The sequence below is a fragment of the Homo sapiens genome, chromosome 21 (assembly GCF_000001405.40).
Source record: "Homo sapiens chromosome 21, GRCh38.p14 Primary Assembly".
Lineage (NCBI taxonomy): Eukaryota > Metazoa > Chordata > Mammalia > Primates > Hominidae > Homo > Homo sapiens.
This window is the reverse complement of record NC_000021.9, coordinates 15789857-15809583: the sequence shown is the minus strand read 5'-3', so window position 1 is coordinate 15809583 and position 19727 is coordinate 15789857. Positions and strand designations below refer to the sequence as shown.

The following is a 19727-nucleotide window of genomic DNA, read 5'->3' as shown; positions in this document are numbered from 1 at the left end:
GTTTTCCACAGTGGCTGTACCATTTCATATCCTCACCAACACTGCACAAGGGTTTCAATTTCTCCACATCCTTGCCAACCCTCGTTATTTTCTTGGGTCAGTAGGGGTTGGGGGGGGTGTTTCGTTTTTTTTCGTAGCCGCCATCCTAATTAGTGTGAGATATTCCTACTCACTTTGAAGTTAGGCCACATAGCTCTGCCCAACAAAATGTTTGCAGAAGTGATGTGTGTCACCTCTGGGCAGAAACTTAGAGACACAGTATAATTTTCACTGCCAGCAAGATCCCAGAAACCTAGGTGACCTCGGGGCCCTGAGTGAACAGATAAAACAGAGCCACTTGCTCACATGCACTGCTACTTCATATCCCTGTCTTCATGCTTCTACGTAAAAGGATTTTGTCACAATTCACATTCCTGACATCTTTCTCCACCGCAAATTCATTCCTCGTCATGAAAAGTGATTATTGAATCTAAGAAAAGGAACTGGGCATGTAAGACTAGCTCTTCCAGGGATCACTTTTTAGATTTTTTTGGTTACACTATTATTTGTGCCTGCAAATTCTAAACAGCTTGTCAATAATACAGAAAATACTGGGATTCCCATAAGTCTGTCTTGATTTCTTATTTCTCTGTTGACATTTAATACATGCTATCTAATGAATTCCTAAAACCCCATTGCTAAACTTCACGGTAACTTACGTCTCCTCTTCAGCTTTCATTTGGAAGGCATCTTCTAACCAATCTAATAATTTGTGTGTAAACTCACTCACATCTTGCTGTGAAAAGAAAAAAGCCTGTTGATATTTGAGCCTACTAAAAAAAAAATACTAGATGTTGTAACATCAAACCTAGAGCCAGTTGTTGAAATATATAATTACCAACTCCTTACAAAGATAACAAGTGAAATGTTTCACACGAAATGCAAGAAACTTTTATAATTTAACCAGGATATAAGATATTTGAAAAAACAAGCATTATATGATAATCAATTATTGGGTTTCACTTTAAAATACACACACACACACACACACACACACAATCAAAAACCAAACTTACAAATGAGATTTTTAAAAAATAATCATTACTCCCCACCCAAAGAGCTCTGTAATGAATCTTTATAAAATGAAGAAATCATCTTAGCAAACAGTTCTTCGTTTTATAAAGAATTATGACTGGCTTCTCTCTTAGAAGGAAGACTAGTCTCTTTCCACAATTCACTTTTCTTAATTCAACTTACACACACAACTTTTTAAGCCATATCTACCTTTACTATCATTCAGAACCAGCCCATTTATCACCTTTCACCATGCCTTTGGTCTTTGCTCTCCCAACACGGAAAAACAGGAATAGGTTGTGGCAGTTGTGTTATCAACTACCATAATTCTTTCAATAACGTGAGTTGGAACACAGAAAATAATAAATAGAACATAAGGGAAAAACAATAAATCAACTCTACTGAGGCTGCTTACAGGCAGATGAATCAGTAGTAAGCAATTTGTCCTTACTTACCAAAATAGCCCCAAATACAAAACAAACTTACTATCATATATTTTTTCAGCCAGCAGTTTCTTAAAGAGCATGTAGGCCAACTTTATATTAACCTCAAAAAAATGTTGAAACTAAAGTCTGGGAAGCTTAAGTAAACTGCTCCAAAGCTGTAGAGTTAAATAGGACTAAACGCAACGCAAAAATCCAGCTGTAAACATTCATAACATCTGTGGCGGGTTGAATAGTAGCCTGCAAAAATATATGTCCACCTAGATCCTCAAAATGTGACACTATTTAGAATAATGGTCTTTGTCAATATAATTAAGGTAAGGATCTTGAGATGAGATCAGCCTGGATTAGGGCTGGGGCTAAATCCAATGGTGAGTGTTCTTGTAAGAAACAGAAAACCAGAAGACAGACAGACACATGAGGGAAAGCCACATGAAGAGGAAGACAGAGATTGGAGCTATGCTGCCTCAAGGCAAGGAACACCAACAGCCACCAGAGTACGGTGGAAGCAAAGGATTCTCCCTCAGAGCCAATGGAGGAAGTGTGGCCCTGCCAACACCTTTACTCTGGACCTCTGCCCTCTAGAACTATTAGAGAATAACCTTTTGTTTTTAACCACTCCATTTGTTGTAATTTGTTACGACTGTCCTTAGGAACTATTGTAACACCTTAAAACAACTTTTCATACTTTTGTATAACTTTAATTCACTTAAACATTACATCCAACAAAAAATAAGGTTTCCTAGCTAACACAATATTTTTCAGAAGTTAATCCCTATCTTTCTTAGAAATCAATCTAAAATTGACAATTATAAAATAAAACAATTAAAGGTATGATTAAAATTGACAGTATCAATTGGGGCCAAGTGTGGTGGCTCATGTCTATAATCCTAGCACTTTGGGAGGCCAAACCAGGAGGATAGCTTGAGCCCAGGAGTTCGAGACCAGGCTTGGCAACATAGGGAGATCCTGTCTCTATAAAAATAAAATAAAATTATTTGCCAGGCGCGGTGGCATGTGCCTGTGGTCTCAGCTACTTGGGAGACTGAGGTCTGGGGAAGGGTTGAGCCCAGGAGGCTGATGCTGCAGTGAGCCATTGTCATACCACTGTACTCTAGCCTAGGTGACAAAACAAAACTGTGTCTCAAAAAAAAACAAACACGGAAAAGAAAAAGAAAAAACTAACAGTATCACATACCAAAGGGTGTCTCAAAAGACTCCTGTGTACTTCAAAAGATGATGTATTTGAAATATTTAGGAAGAAGATACAATGAAAATATAAATTCACTTTTAAAAAAATCATGATGCTTACATTTACAGATTCACTAAATTACTCCTGTAGACTTCAAATTCAAGTGTTTAGGGAACAGAAGAGAATCAAACTTATCAACCTTAATTGATGCACATCTACTTTAAAAGGCCTCTAAAGAAAAAGAATCACTAATTTCAAAAGTTAGTCTACACTGCTAATCTGAAGCAAAAGCATTTATATTGTGGCCTTAACCGCCAGTTGTATCCATTTCAACTCTAACTCAAACTGAAAAGCCCACCTATGTACATACATGGCTCCAGACAAAGTCTATGCTGCCTCATCTTTAAATGTGAAAAGATACCCCAAAATCAACATGAATCTCTAGAAAAGAAAGAAAAAAAAAAAAGAAACCAGAAAAAAGACAAGGAAAAAGCCATCCAGAAGGAAAGATAAGTCAGAGAACAGAAGTAATCTTTTAAAAAATTTAATTGTATACTCAGAATCACTGGAAAAGATACTATGCATACTAAAGAAGAAAAAAAAAAGTAAAACACATTTAGAACCAGAAGGAATGCTGAATGCCCGAAAATGATGGTTTGGAATCAACTGTAAAATTATTTCTCTTTCTTTTGATTTGTGTTAGTGTTACCATGACAGAGCGAGTAAGAAACAAAGCTGAGTAGATACTAAGCCTAAAAGGCACTGGAGCATTGTTAGAATTTTTTTTAAAAATGCAACAACATATAAAAGAAACTCTGATGTGAGTGCCCTTTTTGTTCATTCACATTTGCCATACAAGGTAAATGTAAAGCAGAAACAAAAAGCACAAGGAAGATGGTGAGAGAATCTCAGACCTTCCTCTTCCAAACGCCCTCTCCATACATCACAAAACAGAGACACATCCAAGTATGTACTTTAAAAAACAACGCTGCAAGCTTAGTGGCTTTTTGAAACTTCTGCCATTACACATTGCCGCTATCTTTTTGAACACTTACTATTCTTTGCCACTGTATTTTTTCCTCTGTTTTCCTTCTTTAATTTCTCTGATTTTTCCAATTATATGTGAAAATACTGGTTTGTTTATAGATATTTTGTATTTTTTATAAGAAAATTACCAATATTCTTTTAAGGTAATGGATAAAAATCTACCACAATACACTATATAAAGAATAAAAGACAAAAGCAACAATAACAAAGATAACATCTTTCAAAAACCATTTCTGGGTAATTAAGGAAAAGTACTCCCTGCCAGCAAACACAGGAATATCAAAAGCATGTGTACTATAATGATCCTCTGTTATCACACATTTGTGAACATGTTTAATTATGTATTTGTAAATAATCTTAATTGTATCCATCGTTTTCATTTCAATCATAATATAAATTAAAACTTTATTTTAACACCTTCAAGATCACTTTTCTCTTAAAAGTCTCCCAAATGTTTTAAATGGTTCCAGGTTATTTTTAATAAAGCAGAATCATGCATCTCAAATAGTCTCATATTCTTGGGAAAGGTGCTTAATATTGTTCAGATTAAATACAAATGGTTAATGAACAAGTCAGTGCAACAGAACTACCTGCTGTGAGTCATTTGATTTGAAAGCATCCTTAAGAATTTCAACTGCTCTTGATGGATCAACATACTTCCTTTTGGTACCAACAAGAAGTGCAAATAGATACCTCAGCTCACGCATAAAAGGCAAATTCCGATGTTCCTATTGAAGGAAAAAAACAAAAACAAAAACACCTTAACTGAAGATTAAGAAAATTTTTACTAATAAATATTCATTTTAACAGTAACCAAAAATTAAACTAGCCAATATAGTTTAGGGATGAATTAGCACTCTATCATAATTGAAGAAAGTAGAGTGTTGGTGCCATCTAAGAGACTCAAAGAAGTCCAGCACAAAAAGGCAGAAGACCTAGGATAGGCTCACAATTTCAGCATGAATGCCACATATTCACAGCAAATCATGTCATTACTCAGCCAAGAATATCTTCCTCATTCAAGACTGCTTCTCATAATACTTCCCATTCAGCAAGGCCCAGCTGCTGCTGCTCAGAGCAATAATAACAGCCAACATTCAATGAGTGTTCACTACATGCCAGGCACTGTTCTAAGTGCTTGATCTCAATAAACCCATTTAGCAAAAATCTCCACTCCTCCATGAAGCCTTTCCAGACTCCTTCAAGTCAACGATACCTTCAAATTCCACATCTACTGAAATAAATGCCTTTCACTGAGCAATGAATCACCGACTGTCACTGTGGTGTGACAATCTTAATTATTAGACTAATATTAGAACCTCACCCGATTATTAGAAATTTAATATTTGTTTTTATATTTAATAAAAATTACTTATAAAATTATTTTATACTCATTTATTTTATATCTAAAGTTATCGAACATTATATTTAATATAATTCAATCACAATATTTAAATTTATTTAATTTTATTAATTTAATAATTAGACCAGATCCTAATAGGAGACTAATATATCACCCTCCTAATATTCCTCTGAAATCTTACTTTTGTTTCTCAATAAGACTATAAGATTCTCAAAGACAAGAATTTCTATATCTTTTCCCCAACTTTTTACTACACAAAGCATTCAATTCTTACTGGCTCATTAAAGCAAAATCTCCAGAAAGAAATTAAAACAACCCACATTACCAATCACTAACAATGTATTTTAAAACAAGAAGGAAATTTTAAAAAATAACATAATTCACATAACTTAGTGAAATGTTTCATGACAACAAACCAGGCAAGCCATTCTTATAATATTTAGTTCTTATAATAACAATTTTAACGGAAAAAATTTAGATATTAAACATGAAAATTTTCTTCCAAATTTACACAGTTGGCATTCTCAACACTGTAAAATTCTAGGGGTCTGGGATGGGGGTGTATCTTTACATAGTTGCTGCCCAAAATAGTATAACCCACATAGAAAGAATTGCTTCTAGAATAGATTCCAAAAAAGAGTCCTGAGAAATAGGTAAGAGGGAATAAAACTGGTTCCAAATATGCCCTCAGACATAGGTTTTAAAAGTATAAAGACTATGAGCTTTAATCCACAAAATTACTTTCAAAAGTACCCTTAATTTCCTGAGATCAGTTTCTTTATCACCGCACCTAAGTCAATGCAGTTTTTTGAGACATTCCCAGTAACAAAATTGGAAGTAATAATTTTTGGAAATTAGTGGAATTCTGCTGAGAAGCATATTTGAAAAGTAAATTGCTTCCTAGTTTCTAGAAGATTTTTACCATAAATGAGATTTTAGCTTTGGTCAAATCATTTTTCTTCATCCACAGAGATGATAATATGGTTTTCCTTCTTTAGTCTGTTGATATGGTGAAGTATACTGATTTATTTTTGAAAGCTAAACCAATTTTGTATTCCTGGATAAGCCCCACTTCTCTATGAGGTATTATCCTTTATATATAATTGCAGGATTTAATTTTTCAAAAATTTGCTACAATTCTTTGCTTCCAAATTCATGAGAAATATTGGTGTGTGGTTTGCTTTTCTTGAAATGTATTTTCCTACTTTTCATTTCAGGGTAATGCTTAGCTCACAAAATGAGTTGGGAAGTTTTACTTTTTAAGTATCTGTACAAATTTATAGGGAATTGTTATCATTTGTTCTTTAAATGCTTAATATAATTTACAAGTAAAACTATTTAGCTGCTGAATTTTTTGGTGGACAGGTTCCAGTTCCTTTAATATAATGTAGGGCTACCACAGGTTATCTATTTCTTCACTAGTGAGCTTTGATAGCTTGTGACTTTCAAGATACTTGTCTGCTGTTTATAATATTCCACTATTCTCCCTTTAGTGTCTACAGAGTATGTAGTGATGTTTCCCTTTTTCACTCCTTATATTTGTAATATATGTCTTCCCTCTTCTTTCTTGCTTAGTCTACCTAGAAGTTCATCAATTTCACCAATCTTCTCAAGAAGCAGTTTTTGGTTCCATAATTTTCTGTATTGTTTTTCTGATATTTGGTTCACAGATTTCTGCTATTACCTTTATTATTTCCTTACTTCTGCTTTGAGATTAACGTGCCCTTTATTCTCTAATGTCTTGATATGCAAGCTGCTATCATTAATTGAAAACCATTCTTCTTTTCTAATAAGATGTCTGGTAAGATGTCTCTTATAAGATATCTTCCACTAATCACTGTTTTAGCTTCATCCTCAAATTTTGATATGTCATGTTTTAATTTTCATTCAGCTTACAATATTCTGACATTACTCATTTGATTTGTTTTTTTGTCCCTTGGGATATTTAGAGGTGAATTACTTCATTTCCAACTATCTGGGGATTTTCTGTATATCTTTCTGTTGTTGATTTCTACCTTGATTTCTACCATTTTCATCAGAAAAGGTATTTTGTATGCTTTGAATCCTCTAAGATGCACTGAGACTTATAAATCCAGCTCCTGTTACTTCTTCATGACTAATGGCAGAAATCTCAGAATGCCCCTTTTATTTGTAAAATTCAAAATTCCTTCAGGTATTTGCTCCAGGAATACAGTATGGTACTCAACTAAACCCATTTCCTTCTGATGACATTCACTTTAAGTAGTGGAAAGTGATAAATTTCTTTATTTTGAAATATTTGTCCTAAATCAAGACTTTAAATAATATAACCTTCCAATTAATAAGGCTTTAGCTATTTACATGATGATTTCCACTAAATATTATACATGTGCATCTTTGTTTTCTCAACATTTAATATGCTTTGCCATCAGTCTGAAACATTTTAAACCAAATGTATATCTGTGTGAGGGGAGAGGGGATGATTACATCAAGGATCTATTATTATATTTCCAGGGACCTCACAATTCTCCTAGACACTGAAATTACCAACAGTTCAAAGAAACCTGAGTGTCTAAAATTAGTTTCAATTTCTACAAGCAATTGCCAAGTCTACTTAAAATACATACTAATTTCAAATACTAGATTTCTTTCAAATCTCACTCAATATGTATGTAATATTTGTGGCAAATTTTGCTAGCAAAAAATATCCTGTTTAAAAGTGCATACAAATGGCATCTCTGTGATGTGATCAAAGTAATCCCAAATGTATTCTGCAACTTAAGACAAAGTGTTCAAATTGAATGTAGCTGTAGACATGTCACGAGTTGGCGGTAAATTCATTATTAAATAAGTGACAAGTTACACTCACGCCTTTTTTAAAAACCTGCTGTCACCATCTCAAGTGAATATAGGACCATTCAGTGGCTGATAACTATCTATAAATCCATTTGCTTCAAAGATGTCAAGGTATAGTGTGTACTGCTGTCACTATACTAAATTAGAGTCACATTTGTGGAATAATCATATAAAATTGCACAGTATTCTAAGTAATTGTCTCAGAATGGAAGTGAGAAATTCTTTTATTTCCTTAAGCTAAAGGGACACCTGGAGAGGCTAACCCATTGCAAGAAACAAACTTCTCTAGAAAGGTGCTGAAGACTGGAATTACACATTTCTCTAGTATTCACAACTCGTTCTGATATATAAGCATAAATATAGCAACTGTTTTTTAAATAAGAATACAAACTAACATGGCCTCATTCAACTCTGTGAAGAACAAAAGAAATTAAAGCTCTGTAAAACATTAAAATCCAGGACCATAAATGGTCAAGATGCATATACATACATGCATACCTAACTAGAAATGATAATTCTCAACCATTTCACACAAATTATACATATACTTTGAGATATGAGAAGAGAGAAGAACTGTGATATTAACAAATTGCAATGACAGAGGCAATAGTTCAGAAAGTTCCATGTAAAAACCATAATGATTGAAAGGGTTTTCCTTAATTTTTCTGGAGACATAAGAGTTTGTCAGACGATCCTGACTCCCTTTTGAAAATGGGTTGTTTATCAGCCTGACACTCTACAGCCCAGAGATTATAACCTGAAAAGCTGGTTATAAATCAAGTTATCTTCCCACTAGCATGCATTATAAATGTTTCACGTGTTTACAGAAAAAGAAAAAGTGGTTTTAAAAATTAAACGCTAAAACGAAAACATAATTTAATATTTCATCACTCCTACTAAAAATAGGTCAAAAAAGTTCAGCAGTTTACTGAAACCTAAAACTAACTCCCTTGCCTTGGCAATAAGTCCACTTTAGGACTACAGATTGTTTATGACAAGATCAACCACTAAAGCCCTACACGCAACTATATCATCTCCATAAGTAATTTTTTCCATTAGGTATAAATTCTGTGTGCAAACTGGTTCTTTTTAAAATAAGTCTTTTTTTTTTTTTAATTTTTTTTATTGTTTAACTGACAATAGCTGACACCTAGTACTTACTATGTACCAAGCACTTTTAAGCCCCTTACATGTTTTACCTCATTTAATGCTCACAGCAACTCTATGAAATAATTACTATTATTATATATGATTTACAGATAGTAAATGGAACAGAGAGAAATCAAGTAACCAGCTCTAGGTCCCTAGCTAGAACCCACGCAATCTGGCCCTGGTGTGTGTGTTGTCACTTTATATTACCCATCTATGACAGTCACTTCCAAAATGAAAGATACAGATTTGTACTGCAAAGACATGAATGCAAAACGCATTTTTTAAAGGGCTGCACAAGACGATCAATTGAAAAGAAATTTCGATTTCCACAAAATTTTTTAGGAGACAACTGAGGAAAGACCTTAAATTGTAAACTATAGCCTATAAAGTTTACTGAAATTTGACAGTCCCCCCCAAAAAAATTACTAAAGCGACACCAAAAATTGGCATATTACTGTGACAGGTAAAGGAAAAAAGTCGTATTTATAATATATTAACAAAGGATAAGAACTTGCTATGGTAACTAAGATTAATGAATTGACATTCAAATTGACAGTTTCAGATTTGATGAGCCAAGTAAATGCCCAAAAATCAATCACATATAAGAGAACATATAGAGTATATATACTGCTTAAAAAAATCTTTTGAATTTTACCTTTTGGTTTCGGGGTAAATCTTGAGCATTTGATGGAGGCTTGTAATTCAGAACTAATCTTCTAAATTCCAAAAGATTAAATAATGACTGAAAAAGAACAACAATTTAACATAACCTGAGGGAAAATTCCATTAGCAGAATGTAAAAATGACTAGTCTTGGAGGTTTATTTTTTACAACTGTGTACTACTTATACTCAGAATCATTGCAACTGGCACAAGGAGGACATACTTCTGAGAAAAAGTCAAGTTTCTTTTATTTGACATACCATTCTTGATACTTGATAGTGCACAAGATTATATTTGGACAACTTTTTAAATATACTACTCATTATTAATAGCTCTTTTTATATGCACTTAAGCAGTTTCCTCAAAATAAAGAGTATGCAAATGTCAAGTCCAAAACTTTTTAGACCTGCTATGTTTACCATGAATTATCTAGATGTATCATTAATACTAGAAAAATGGAGTACAAATAAATTTACTCATCAGATCCTAGGTAATAGAGACACAAAGAAATTACATATTATCTCAATGCTCAAGGAAGTACACAATTTAGAAAGGAGACAGACATGTAATAGAAATGTCGTGACTTCAAGATGCAGTGATAATAATTACACAAGAATCTAATGGAGCATATGCAGGATGCCCATGGAAAGGCTTCCTGGAGTATGTTTTTTAAACTGTAGTTTGCAACCATTTACTATCATCATACTGAACATTTCTTTAAAATGAGATAAAATACAATGGAAAATATCACAATGTATCATACTCAGTAAATACATCAGAGTATTTTCTTGCAAAATTTTCATTGTAGATATTTTACACACTTGTGTATGTGTAAAATGTTTTATAATATACAGTATATTCCTTTCTTGGGTCACAGTTTATAAAGTTTGAAAATTACTATACAGGAAGTGATAATGTTTCAAATCTTAGAAAAGGTGAGTCAGCCAACTTGACAGAAGGTAAAGGTGGCACCACAAATCAATGAGGAAACAAGGTTTTGATCAACAGTTGGGTATTGAGAAAACTACATATAAAGAAATAGAGCCAGATTACATAGATCAATTAACAACCTAAATATGAAAGGTAAAACCATAAAGCTGGTAACAGAAACTGTAAAAAAAAATTTTATCTTGTGATCTAGAAAGATTTATTCAACAATATAAGCACATAAAATAAATCATCTATTCATTCATTTAACAAATATTTATGGAGCATCTACTATATGCCAGACACTAAGAAGGTAGTCTCTGCCCTTGTAGGGATTACAGTCTTGTGACTGCTTTTTAAAACAGTAAGAGTAGAAGTAATAAACCAGAAGGGATATGAATACATTAACAGTTGGCCAAGATCAGAACCTTGGGGAGAAAGCACCATTTAAAAATCACAGGAAAAAAGAAAAAGAGTTTTGAAAAAGAGAAAGGAATACTAAGGGAAATCACAGAAGAAAAACGAGTGGAGAAAACAAGGGCTTTCAAACATACTTGTGTATTCTAATAAACTGCGGAGCTTTAAAAAATAGCTGTGTCAGGGGACTCTCAATAAAGATACAAAGTTCCACAAAAGATTCTGCTGTACATCAAAAAATAGCTGGCACATTTCAAGGAGGACAAGATTAGCAATATCATGAAAGGTTGCCACATTCTTCCAATAAATTAAGGACAGAGAAATAACCTTTGGATTTGGCAACTGCAAAGTCATGTTTGCAGTGGAGTGGTAGAGGAAGAACAGAGGCATTAAATAATGGGAAAATGGGGTACAGAGTAGCACCCTCTTATCCAAAAAGGATACATTCCAAAATCTCCTCTGAATACCGGAAACCACAGATATTACTGAACTCCATATATATTATGTTTTTTTTCCTTGCATGCCTATAATGGCTAAATTTATAAATTGGGCACAGTATGAGATTAGCAACAATAACGAATAATAAAATAGGTCAATTGTAAAGAAAACATACTGTAATAAAAGTTATATGAATGTGTTCTCCCTCTCTCCCTCTCCTTCTCTCTCTCAGTACTGTAATATTTTCAGCCACAATTAACAGCAGGTAACTGAAACAGCAGAAAGTGAAACCAAAGATAAGGGGGACTACTGTTAAGTAGGGGAGACAAACCATGGACTATTCTTTTGAGGAATTTAAAGAGGAAAGAGAATCTTGGCAGGTTAGAAGAATTTCAATCCCACTTCTATTCTCTGAGCTCCCATTGTAGATAGAGAATTTTCCTTGTTCCTGGATACTTAGAACTTCCTTTGGTGTGGGTGTGCTGGTGAAGAATTATTTCAGCTAGTTTTTCTTCATTTTTAAAGACTTCTGCTAGGTATAAAATTCAAGATGGCCAGTTATTTATTTCTAGCACTTTAAAGACATTATTTCTGCTTATGTGTGACTTGATGTTTAAAGGTATCAAAGTCAGCTATTAGTCTTGTTTTTGCTCCTTTATACGTGTATCTTTTTCCACCTTGCAACTTTTAGGATTTCTCTTTGTCTATAGTTATTTGTTTTATTATGATGTACTTTGGTGCAGTATTCTTTATGTTTATACTATTTGATTCCTATTGCTTCCTGAATCTATGGCTTGATCTTTCTCAAGTTTGGAATATTGTGAGTAATCTCTTCAAACATGCTTTTGCCCTATTTCCTTTTACTCTCCCTCTGGAACTACAAATACACTGTTAGTACTACTCACCATATCCAAAGTATCTCTTTGATGCTCCCATCTTTATGTCATAGCTTTAGTCTGAAAAATATTCTCCAGATTAATTTACCAGTTGGCTAATTATCTCTTCAGTTGTGTCTAATAATGCTGCTAAATTTATCCACTGACTTCTTAGTTTCATTTATATTTTTCCATTCTGAAATTTACATTTTGTTCTTTACAGTTTTTAGTTTTCTTCAGACTCGCAATCTTGCTTTTAATTCCTTGAACATATTAATTATTATTATGGCAGACAAGTATTCCAGTTTCCCTGTGCTGTTTTCTATTGTCCATTTTTTTGTGTTAGTTTTCACACACATCTTATTTTCTGGTATGACTGACCTGAGTACTAGACATTGTGTATGAAAAATTGAGGAAAGGTTCCAGATAATACTATCTTCTAAGAGAGAATTTACATTTGCTCTGGCAGGCAGGGAGACTAGAGTCACAGTCTCAGGTCGCCTTAATCCAATAAATTCTGAGATAACTTAAAACTATATAATTCAGAAACTAGGAAGCCTGTCTTAACTTTCAGTTCTCAGTTAATGCTACATTCTAACCATTTAGAATTCCAACTCACAGTCTAAGATGTTTTACTAGGGCTCAAACTTTGTGCAAAAATTTTCTTAGTTCCTCAACTACGCAGCAGTCAGTTCTGGAGATGCCTAAAGGACAAAATCCATCAAAAATAACAAGCTCACTCTATGACTATCCTTCTTTACTCAAAATTCCTCACTGCTTTAGTACTCTGTGATGCCCTCAAAAGGTTGGTTTTATTTCTGTTTTGGAATCCAGCAAAACATCACAAGGCAGATGGTCTAAAACAACCTCATCTACCATTACTCAGTGAAACTCATCACCATTGATTATCACAACAAATCATAAAAATTAAGTTTTTCAAGTCCCAAAGACCCTATATCCTTCACCAAAGTCATATGAGGACTGTCCAATGTATTCCTTCAAAAGAGGTAAGAAAGGGTAACTTTTACTGCCTGAAGAGTGTTTTTGATTAATGCACCTGAAAATAACCATCCTTTCATTCAGTCCAAAGCTAATATGTGAATTTTGAAAAGCACTTACGAAAATGAAGTTTGGTTAGATTCTTGCTAATAACAAAGACATAATGGGGGATAAGAGTTCAAATAATTTGTGAAAAAGAAAGAAGTGATGGCAAGAGTGCAGAGGAAATGAAACATAAACTGCCTACAGTGGAGAAGACTGAGAAGCGTGATAAATTCTCCTCGGAGGATTAAAAAAAAATTAGCATGGTATCACATAAGTTTCATGGTGAGGCAGGGATTGAAAAATAGATGGCATTATTGAAACCACAAGTCTATGTACAGAACAATTAAACCCCCATGTGCTTTCCAGACCCAGCACATTCAGACAATTGCCTCCCCTCTGTGGGTGTATAGGAAATTTAGTCTTTGGAGATCTTAAATGACTCAGGTTCAGAAAAATCAGTCAAATTGTATGTCACAGTACAAAGGAGAGATGATTGAGAGCTACAAACAGCAAGATTAAGTAAAAACATGTAAACTGATACCCACATCGACCAATCCCATTTCTCTAGACTTACTTTTAGAAAGCGAGTGATCATGCTTAAACCACAAAGAATCAGAATTCACCCCAAATTTGAAACAGAGAAATGGTCTATGGGACAGAACTCCAAAAACAAACAAACAAAAAAATGAAGCAAATATGTGTGGGCATACAGAATATATTATTAAGACCATAACAAACATGTTGAAGCATTTAGAAAATATTAAAGTATATAGAAAATAGGGGAAAAAGGTAGCAATTGACAACTCCAGGATAACAAAGTACTATAGATGGGAGGACCTAGTGAATCACTGTAACATTTACAAAGTTATAAAAAATGAAAATACTGACTACCTACTATTTTTAATTTGTATTATAACCATGTTGAGAGATGAAACAAAAGGCAATTCTAGGCAGGTGAACTGAAAGAGCAAATTCCTCATCTATCTCAGTGGGAAGGCATGTCATTTAGAAAAATGAAGATAGAGAAGAAATGGATTAGATACAGGTCTCTTTCAAGGGGCAGGACTAGGAAGCAGACAGGTTTAAGCATTTTAGTGCCACATGATTTTTTCTTTGATGAAAATTAAAGAGAGAAGAGCAAGGAGTATGAATAAGCATTTTAAATTATATCCTGAAATGTTCTGACAATATGCATCATTTTTTAAAATATCCTCACGTACTACTTTAGATACTCCATACATGCTCCCTTTTGGTTCATTCATCCATTCATGCAATAATTACTTGATGGGCTATTCCAATGTGCCAGACCCTGTATTATATATATAATATAGAGTACCCTAAATGTGCTCTCTGCCCTCAGGGTGCCTGTATTTTAGTCAACCTGCAGTTATATGATTTATGAGTAAGGTAACCACATACTTTACCATCATACACAGCAGGGCTTTAGGACTAAGTGACAGGTGCCAACAGATCTACAATAGGAGTAAAAGGGACTATGACAAGCAAACTGAGAAGTATGAGCACCTTACTTCTCGGCATCCAAATGGAAAGGTGCTAAGGGGCTAAGGATCATCATGAGCACCCATACCACTTCAACGACATGTCCCAGAGCTACAGAGAAGAACATACACCTCCAAATAGCTAACTCATTCAGTGACACCCTAGTGGGGAACAGCTGCAATCAGTACTTTCTACATAAAAGTACCAAGTGAATAGGACAAAAATAATCCTGACTAGCTGTGGGGTTGATGTCTAACCTAAAGACAGGCTAATGTTGCCAGCAGCCAAAAGATTATTTAAGCCATTATCTGTACAATCTTCTCTTTGTTTATATTCCCTTTCTTACATTCTGTTCCCCCTTTCTACCAAAATATTGGTCTCAGTATCTAAAATAATAAGTATGCAAAGCTATCTATAACTGTTGTAGCCTACCCCAGCTATATACTTTGAAGTTAAAGGGTGATATTACTAGCAAACTTCTATAACTGGTCAATATATTTACAAGAAAAAGAATTCCCAGATGTTTCAAATTAGTCCTACTAAGTAAATTCCATCCCCGAGAAAATTTTGTAATCAAAACTTTACAGTACATTTACATCACAATTTGAGTAAGTTCCAACTCACTGTGGAAAACAACAAAACCTCCAACACTATGGTAGATTTTTGGCCCAACTTTTCATTCACAAGTAAAAAGTCAATTTATGATGGCCAAGTATTATATCTCAGTTTATAGCTTAGAGTTAAGCAATAATGGTAGAAAATTTTTAAGAAGACTCTACCAAAGATAAAAGTTAAAAGCTACTTAAAATAGTTTGATAGATTTTAAAATTACCATAAAAAATAAAACTTCAGGTGATCTCTAGCCAAATTTTTCTGCCCACTCATCATTTTCCACAATCTGATGCTTAGTGTTTTCTACTCCCTCAAAAGCCATTATCTTATTAGGCCATTATAACCTGAATTTTTAAGCTTATAGGTTACTTCTCCTAGATGTTTAGATTTCACCAAAAGAAAAAATAAATAACTCAAGCCCTCTTATACTTGCCTATGTTAGGAGTTAAGCAGCCACTAAACTTAGATAAAATTTTAAAACTAGTACAATTACTAGTTTTTAAATAAGCTAGGCATTTTTTTAAAAGATAATTTTTTTCTAGCCCATTCCCTCCTTCTTAAAAAAAAAAATCTAAGCTAAAAAGAAAAGCTAGAAAAGCTAAGATTAGCAAACTTAGGGTAGAAACAGATTGTAACTGTATCAAGATTAAACTGAGCTGCTGAAAGAAGTTTTATCCTACTAAAACAAAAGGTCATTATCCCTATATCAGCATTTATCATTTCAAACAGAACTTCCCTACACATACAGGATAGAGAAATAAAAAGCAACTATTCTAACAATATTATTTACAAATACTTTCTTTCTTCTTATACCTTTCTAAGAAAAGCTTCTAATCAATGACCCTCATGTATTTGCCATAATAGTGCTGAGATAGCATCTACTTGACCAAACACAGGCAGCAAAACATGTTCATGAGCACTCAGTTCAGAGCCTTAAAACTATACTTAATATTTTAAAATTATGTCTAAATTATCATATGCACAAACCTTCTTAATAGATAGCGCAAGTAAAGTGAGATAGCCTATTAAGATGATCTAAGAATCTCTAAGGTATCAATATTTTAGATATTGCTTTTTGGCATGTAAGTAAACAACGTATAATCAAGGCTAGAAGCAAAGATACTACTATAGATTTATGTTAATCCAGGTATTCCTTAGCATCTTCATGTCCTGGGAAAGCCAATAACATAGCATATTACTTATTAGGATGCACCACAGCATATTAAAAAGTGAGGTAAATCCAGAAAAACAAAGAAAATCAAATTATATGATATTATGCACCAGAAGCAAAAAGGGAGAAAACGGTGAAAATTTTAGCACTGAAGTATATAAAAAAAAGTTAAAATTACAAGTTAGCAAAAACAATTAACTTGTAGAAAATGAACCAAATAACCTGTTAGTTGCCTTAATATCATATGAAAGTTTAAGCTGTCATACACACAGGTTTGGAAAGTTACAAAATGAAGATATATTTTGAATACAAAAAATAGCATGCATGTCCAATGAAGGAAAAAGCATTCATCACGAACATGAAATAATAAGCTATAATTCAACTGTCACACAAAAACGAACACAAAACATTAGTTAACTTTCCTAAGGAGTAATAAAAATTAAGGACATATTATTCATAAATTGTTTTAAAGTTTTGCAATCTGATGGATAACATTATCAATGTCAACCGAGAATGATAAAGAATTTTGATAACAGTTGTTAAACACGTAAAAGAAAACTGTTCCAAATTGAAAAGAGGGATATCTACACATACATATGTCTCTTATTTTAGAATAAGCAGATCAAGAAATGTATCATTAAGGGATTTCTTAGTAAAAAAAGACAATGTGTTATTCTTGATTTATCAATATTTATTCATCACATCATTTCACATGCAAACTCAGATTTGCAAATCTATACCAACCTCAAACAAAATGCTTATTAAAAATACTAAGTGTCTATAATTCTATAAATAACACTGTCTAGTATATACAAATAAATCTGATCTGACCCACAGAAAGCCAGTTCTAGTTTCAAACTTGGTTACAATGCTTCCATAAATTTGCAGGGAAATATATACAAAACTCTTTCCACCCCAACAATTCCTAAAAGCAGAAGGAAAGGATAAATTGATTCCAAATAAGTGAAAGGCATAAGTAGTGATCTACTGTTAAAAAATACATACTAGAAATGAAAAACAAAGAGGGATGGGAGGATACTTCAATCCCCAAGCTAGTTTATTAGACAAAATAGTATATTAAAAACTTATCTGTACTTATCTTTAAAGTACACAACTTAAACACAACCAACTCACTTTCCATTGCTATCACACACATCAAATAAGAACTGAATAAAGAAAAATCCTTACCTGAATAACAGCACTAAACCAACAAGTATTGCCAACATTCTTTAGCCCAACGGGAGCTTTGTCCTGTCTTTTTCTATCATAAGGGTTTCGAGAATCCCTCCAAACTTCTGTAGGTGTCCTCTTCAAACATGCTTTATTCTCTGCTATGCTGGCTTCAAGAACTCTTAATCAATGGTGGAAAAAAATGCAGCATTATATAATGGTATATATCCCAGGCATATCACACATTCTAAAAGCATTTTCATTACATAAGATTTCAATAATGTATTTGAAGAAATAATATTTAATACTAACTTTACTCAAATACACGTTTTAGCAGTGTCAATGCTAATACATAGAGAAGTATAGTCTTTTTTCCTAAGAAAAATGAAATTTCAAACATAAAATGGCAGTTTTATATAATAGAAAGTACAATAAATCACATTTCAACAAATTAGATATTAGTACCAGGAATATACCATCTAGATGAATTTTCTGAGAAATAACAATTAAAGTACATATTTACAATATAACATGATGACCACTTTTTATAACAATTACTCTGAATCAAGAAAACATTAAAAACTGAACAAGTTGCACTTTTATCACCGACCACTTAGTTCTTCTTCTACAAAAAAAAAGTTCAGTGAGTTAAACTTTATGATTCCTTTCAATTCTTGAGATCTATGCCTCTATGAGAGCCAAGTAAAGGAAAAGAAAACCTGTATGTTCACTGCCTTGCCCAAAAGTTTGCCTTTGGGAAAATTTAATGAAATAAATATTAGAATACATATTAGAATAACAAAAGATAGTTAACCTTTCCAAAATAAACTCACCTATGAATATCTTAAGTATATCTAAACATGGCAAAAGTAATGCTACTTTAATGATGTTTCTTGCTCCTGAGCATGCAACAACATAAGTATAATCATAACTGGAAAACCCTGGTTCCCACATAGGATCTAACCAAGCATTTTGCCTGCTCAAGAAATGTGTTACTTGCTACTTGGCTTCAGCCAAAAAAAAAAAAAAAAAGAAACTTGTTACTTATTATTCTAAATCAGCATAAATAACATTCAGGTATCTTAACCACTTTGTGTTAATTACCAGAACCTGAGTAAAGATTAGTTTTTTTCAACTTTTTGGTTTATCAAGAAAATCTCATTCATTTCACACCATTTTTATCCTAAAGATTTTATCCTATCAGATTAATGTCAAAATATTATTATTTTATCCTTAACAGCAATATTTACCACAAGACATTAGATACAAGGAAATCTAAAATATCCATGTGAATACAGAAGTCAGTCTTTGGGAATCAATAAAACACACATTTTTGAAAAACTGGTAACAACATGATATGTTAAAATGTAAACTCATATAGTGAAAAGTAAACAGTTTCTACTTCTGTCACACTTAAGAGTGACCCGACTGGCCAGCACTACTCTCTGCCCAAAAACCAACTCCCACAGGCAACCCCAGACTCTAGGCTTGTTTCACGAAAAGACATAGAACTCCTTGAAAGACATTTAGTTAGATGAACTGGGGCAGAGGAAAACCAAAGAATATCTAGAACATTCTACTGTTACCAGAAAGCAAGTTTTCAAGAATACAAGGGAGAGATAGAAAGACAGTCAACTTGACTCTCCTATTGGAGACCCAGGAGGTCCTAAAGACCTTCTAACAGTTAAATTTTGCAGTTCAGCAGAATAATAATAACCTGAACAAACTGAATTTGTTCAAGACTGGTTTATGCTCAAAAAAGAAAGGTTAATGCACAGTATATAAAAAGTAACTGTAATACAAAAGACTGCCCTATATAGAGGGGA

At 33.2% G+C, this 19727-nt stretch overlaps 1 protein-coding gene across 17 annotated transcripts in view; it reads right to left on the bottom strand.

Moving 5' to 3' along the window:
* USP25 (ubiquitin specific peptidase 25) overlaps positions 1 to 19727 on the bottom strand; it is a 150083-nt gene that overhangs the window by 70481 nt on the left and 59875 nt on the right. For 14 of the 17 annotated variants that reach the window (NM_001352560.2, NM_001388301.1, NM_001388302.1 and 11 more), the window contains 4 exons: positions 17920 to 18082; positions 9741 to 9827; positions 4326 to 4463; positions 699 to 775 (listed from right to left, as the gene is read on the bottom strand). In NM_001352560.2, coding sequence (NP_001339489.1) covers positions 699 to 775; positions 4326 to 4442 — 194 coding nt within the window. In that variant the 5' untranslated portion in view covers positions 4443 to 4463; positions 9741 to 9827; positions 17920 to 18082. Of the gene's footprint in view, positions 1 to 698; positions 776 to 4325; positions 4464 to 9740; positions 9828 to 17919; positions 18083 to 19727 lie in introns of those variants that run through there. The other 3 variants (XM_047440746.1, XM_047440748.1, XM_047440747.1) reach the window with 3 other exon arrangements.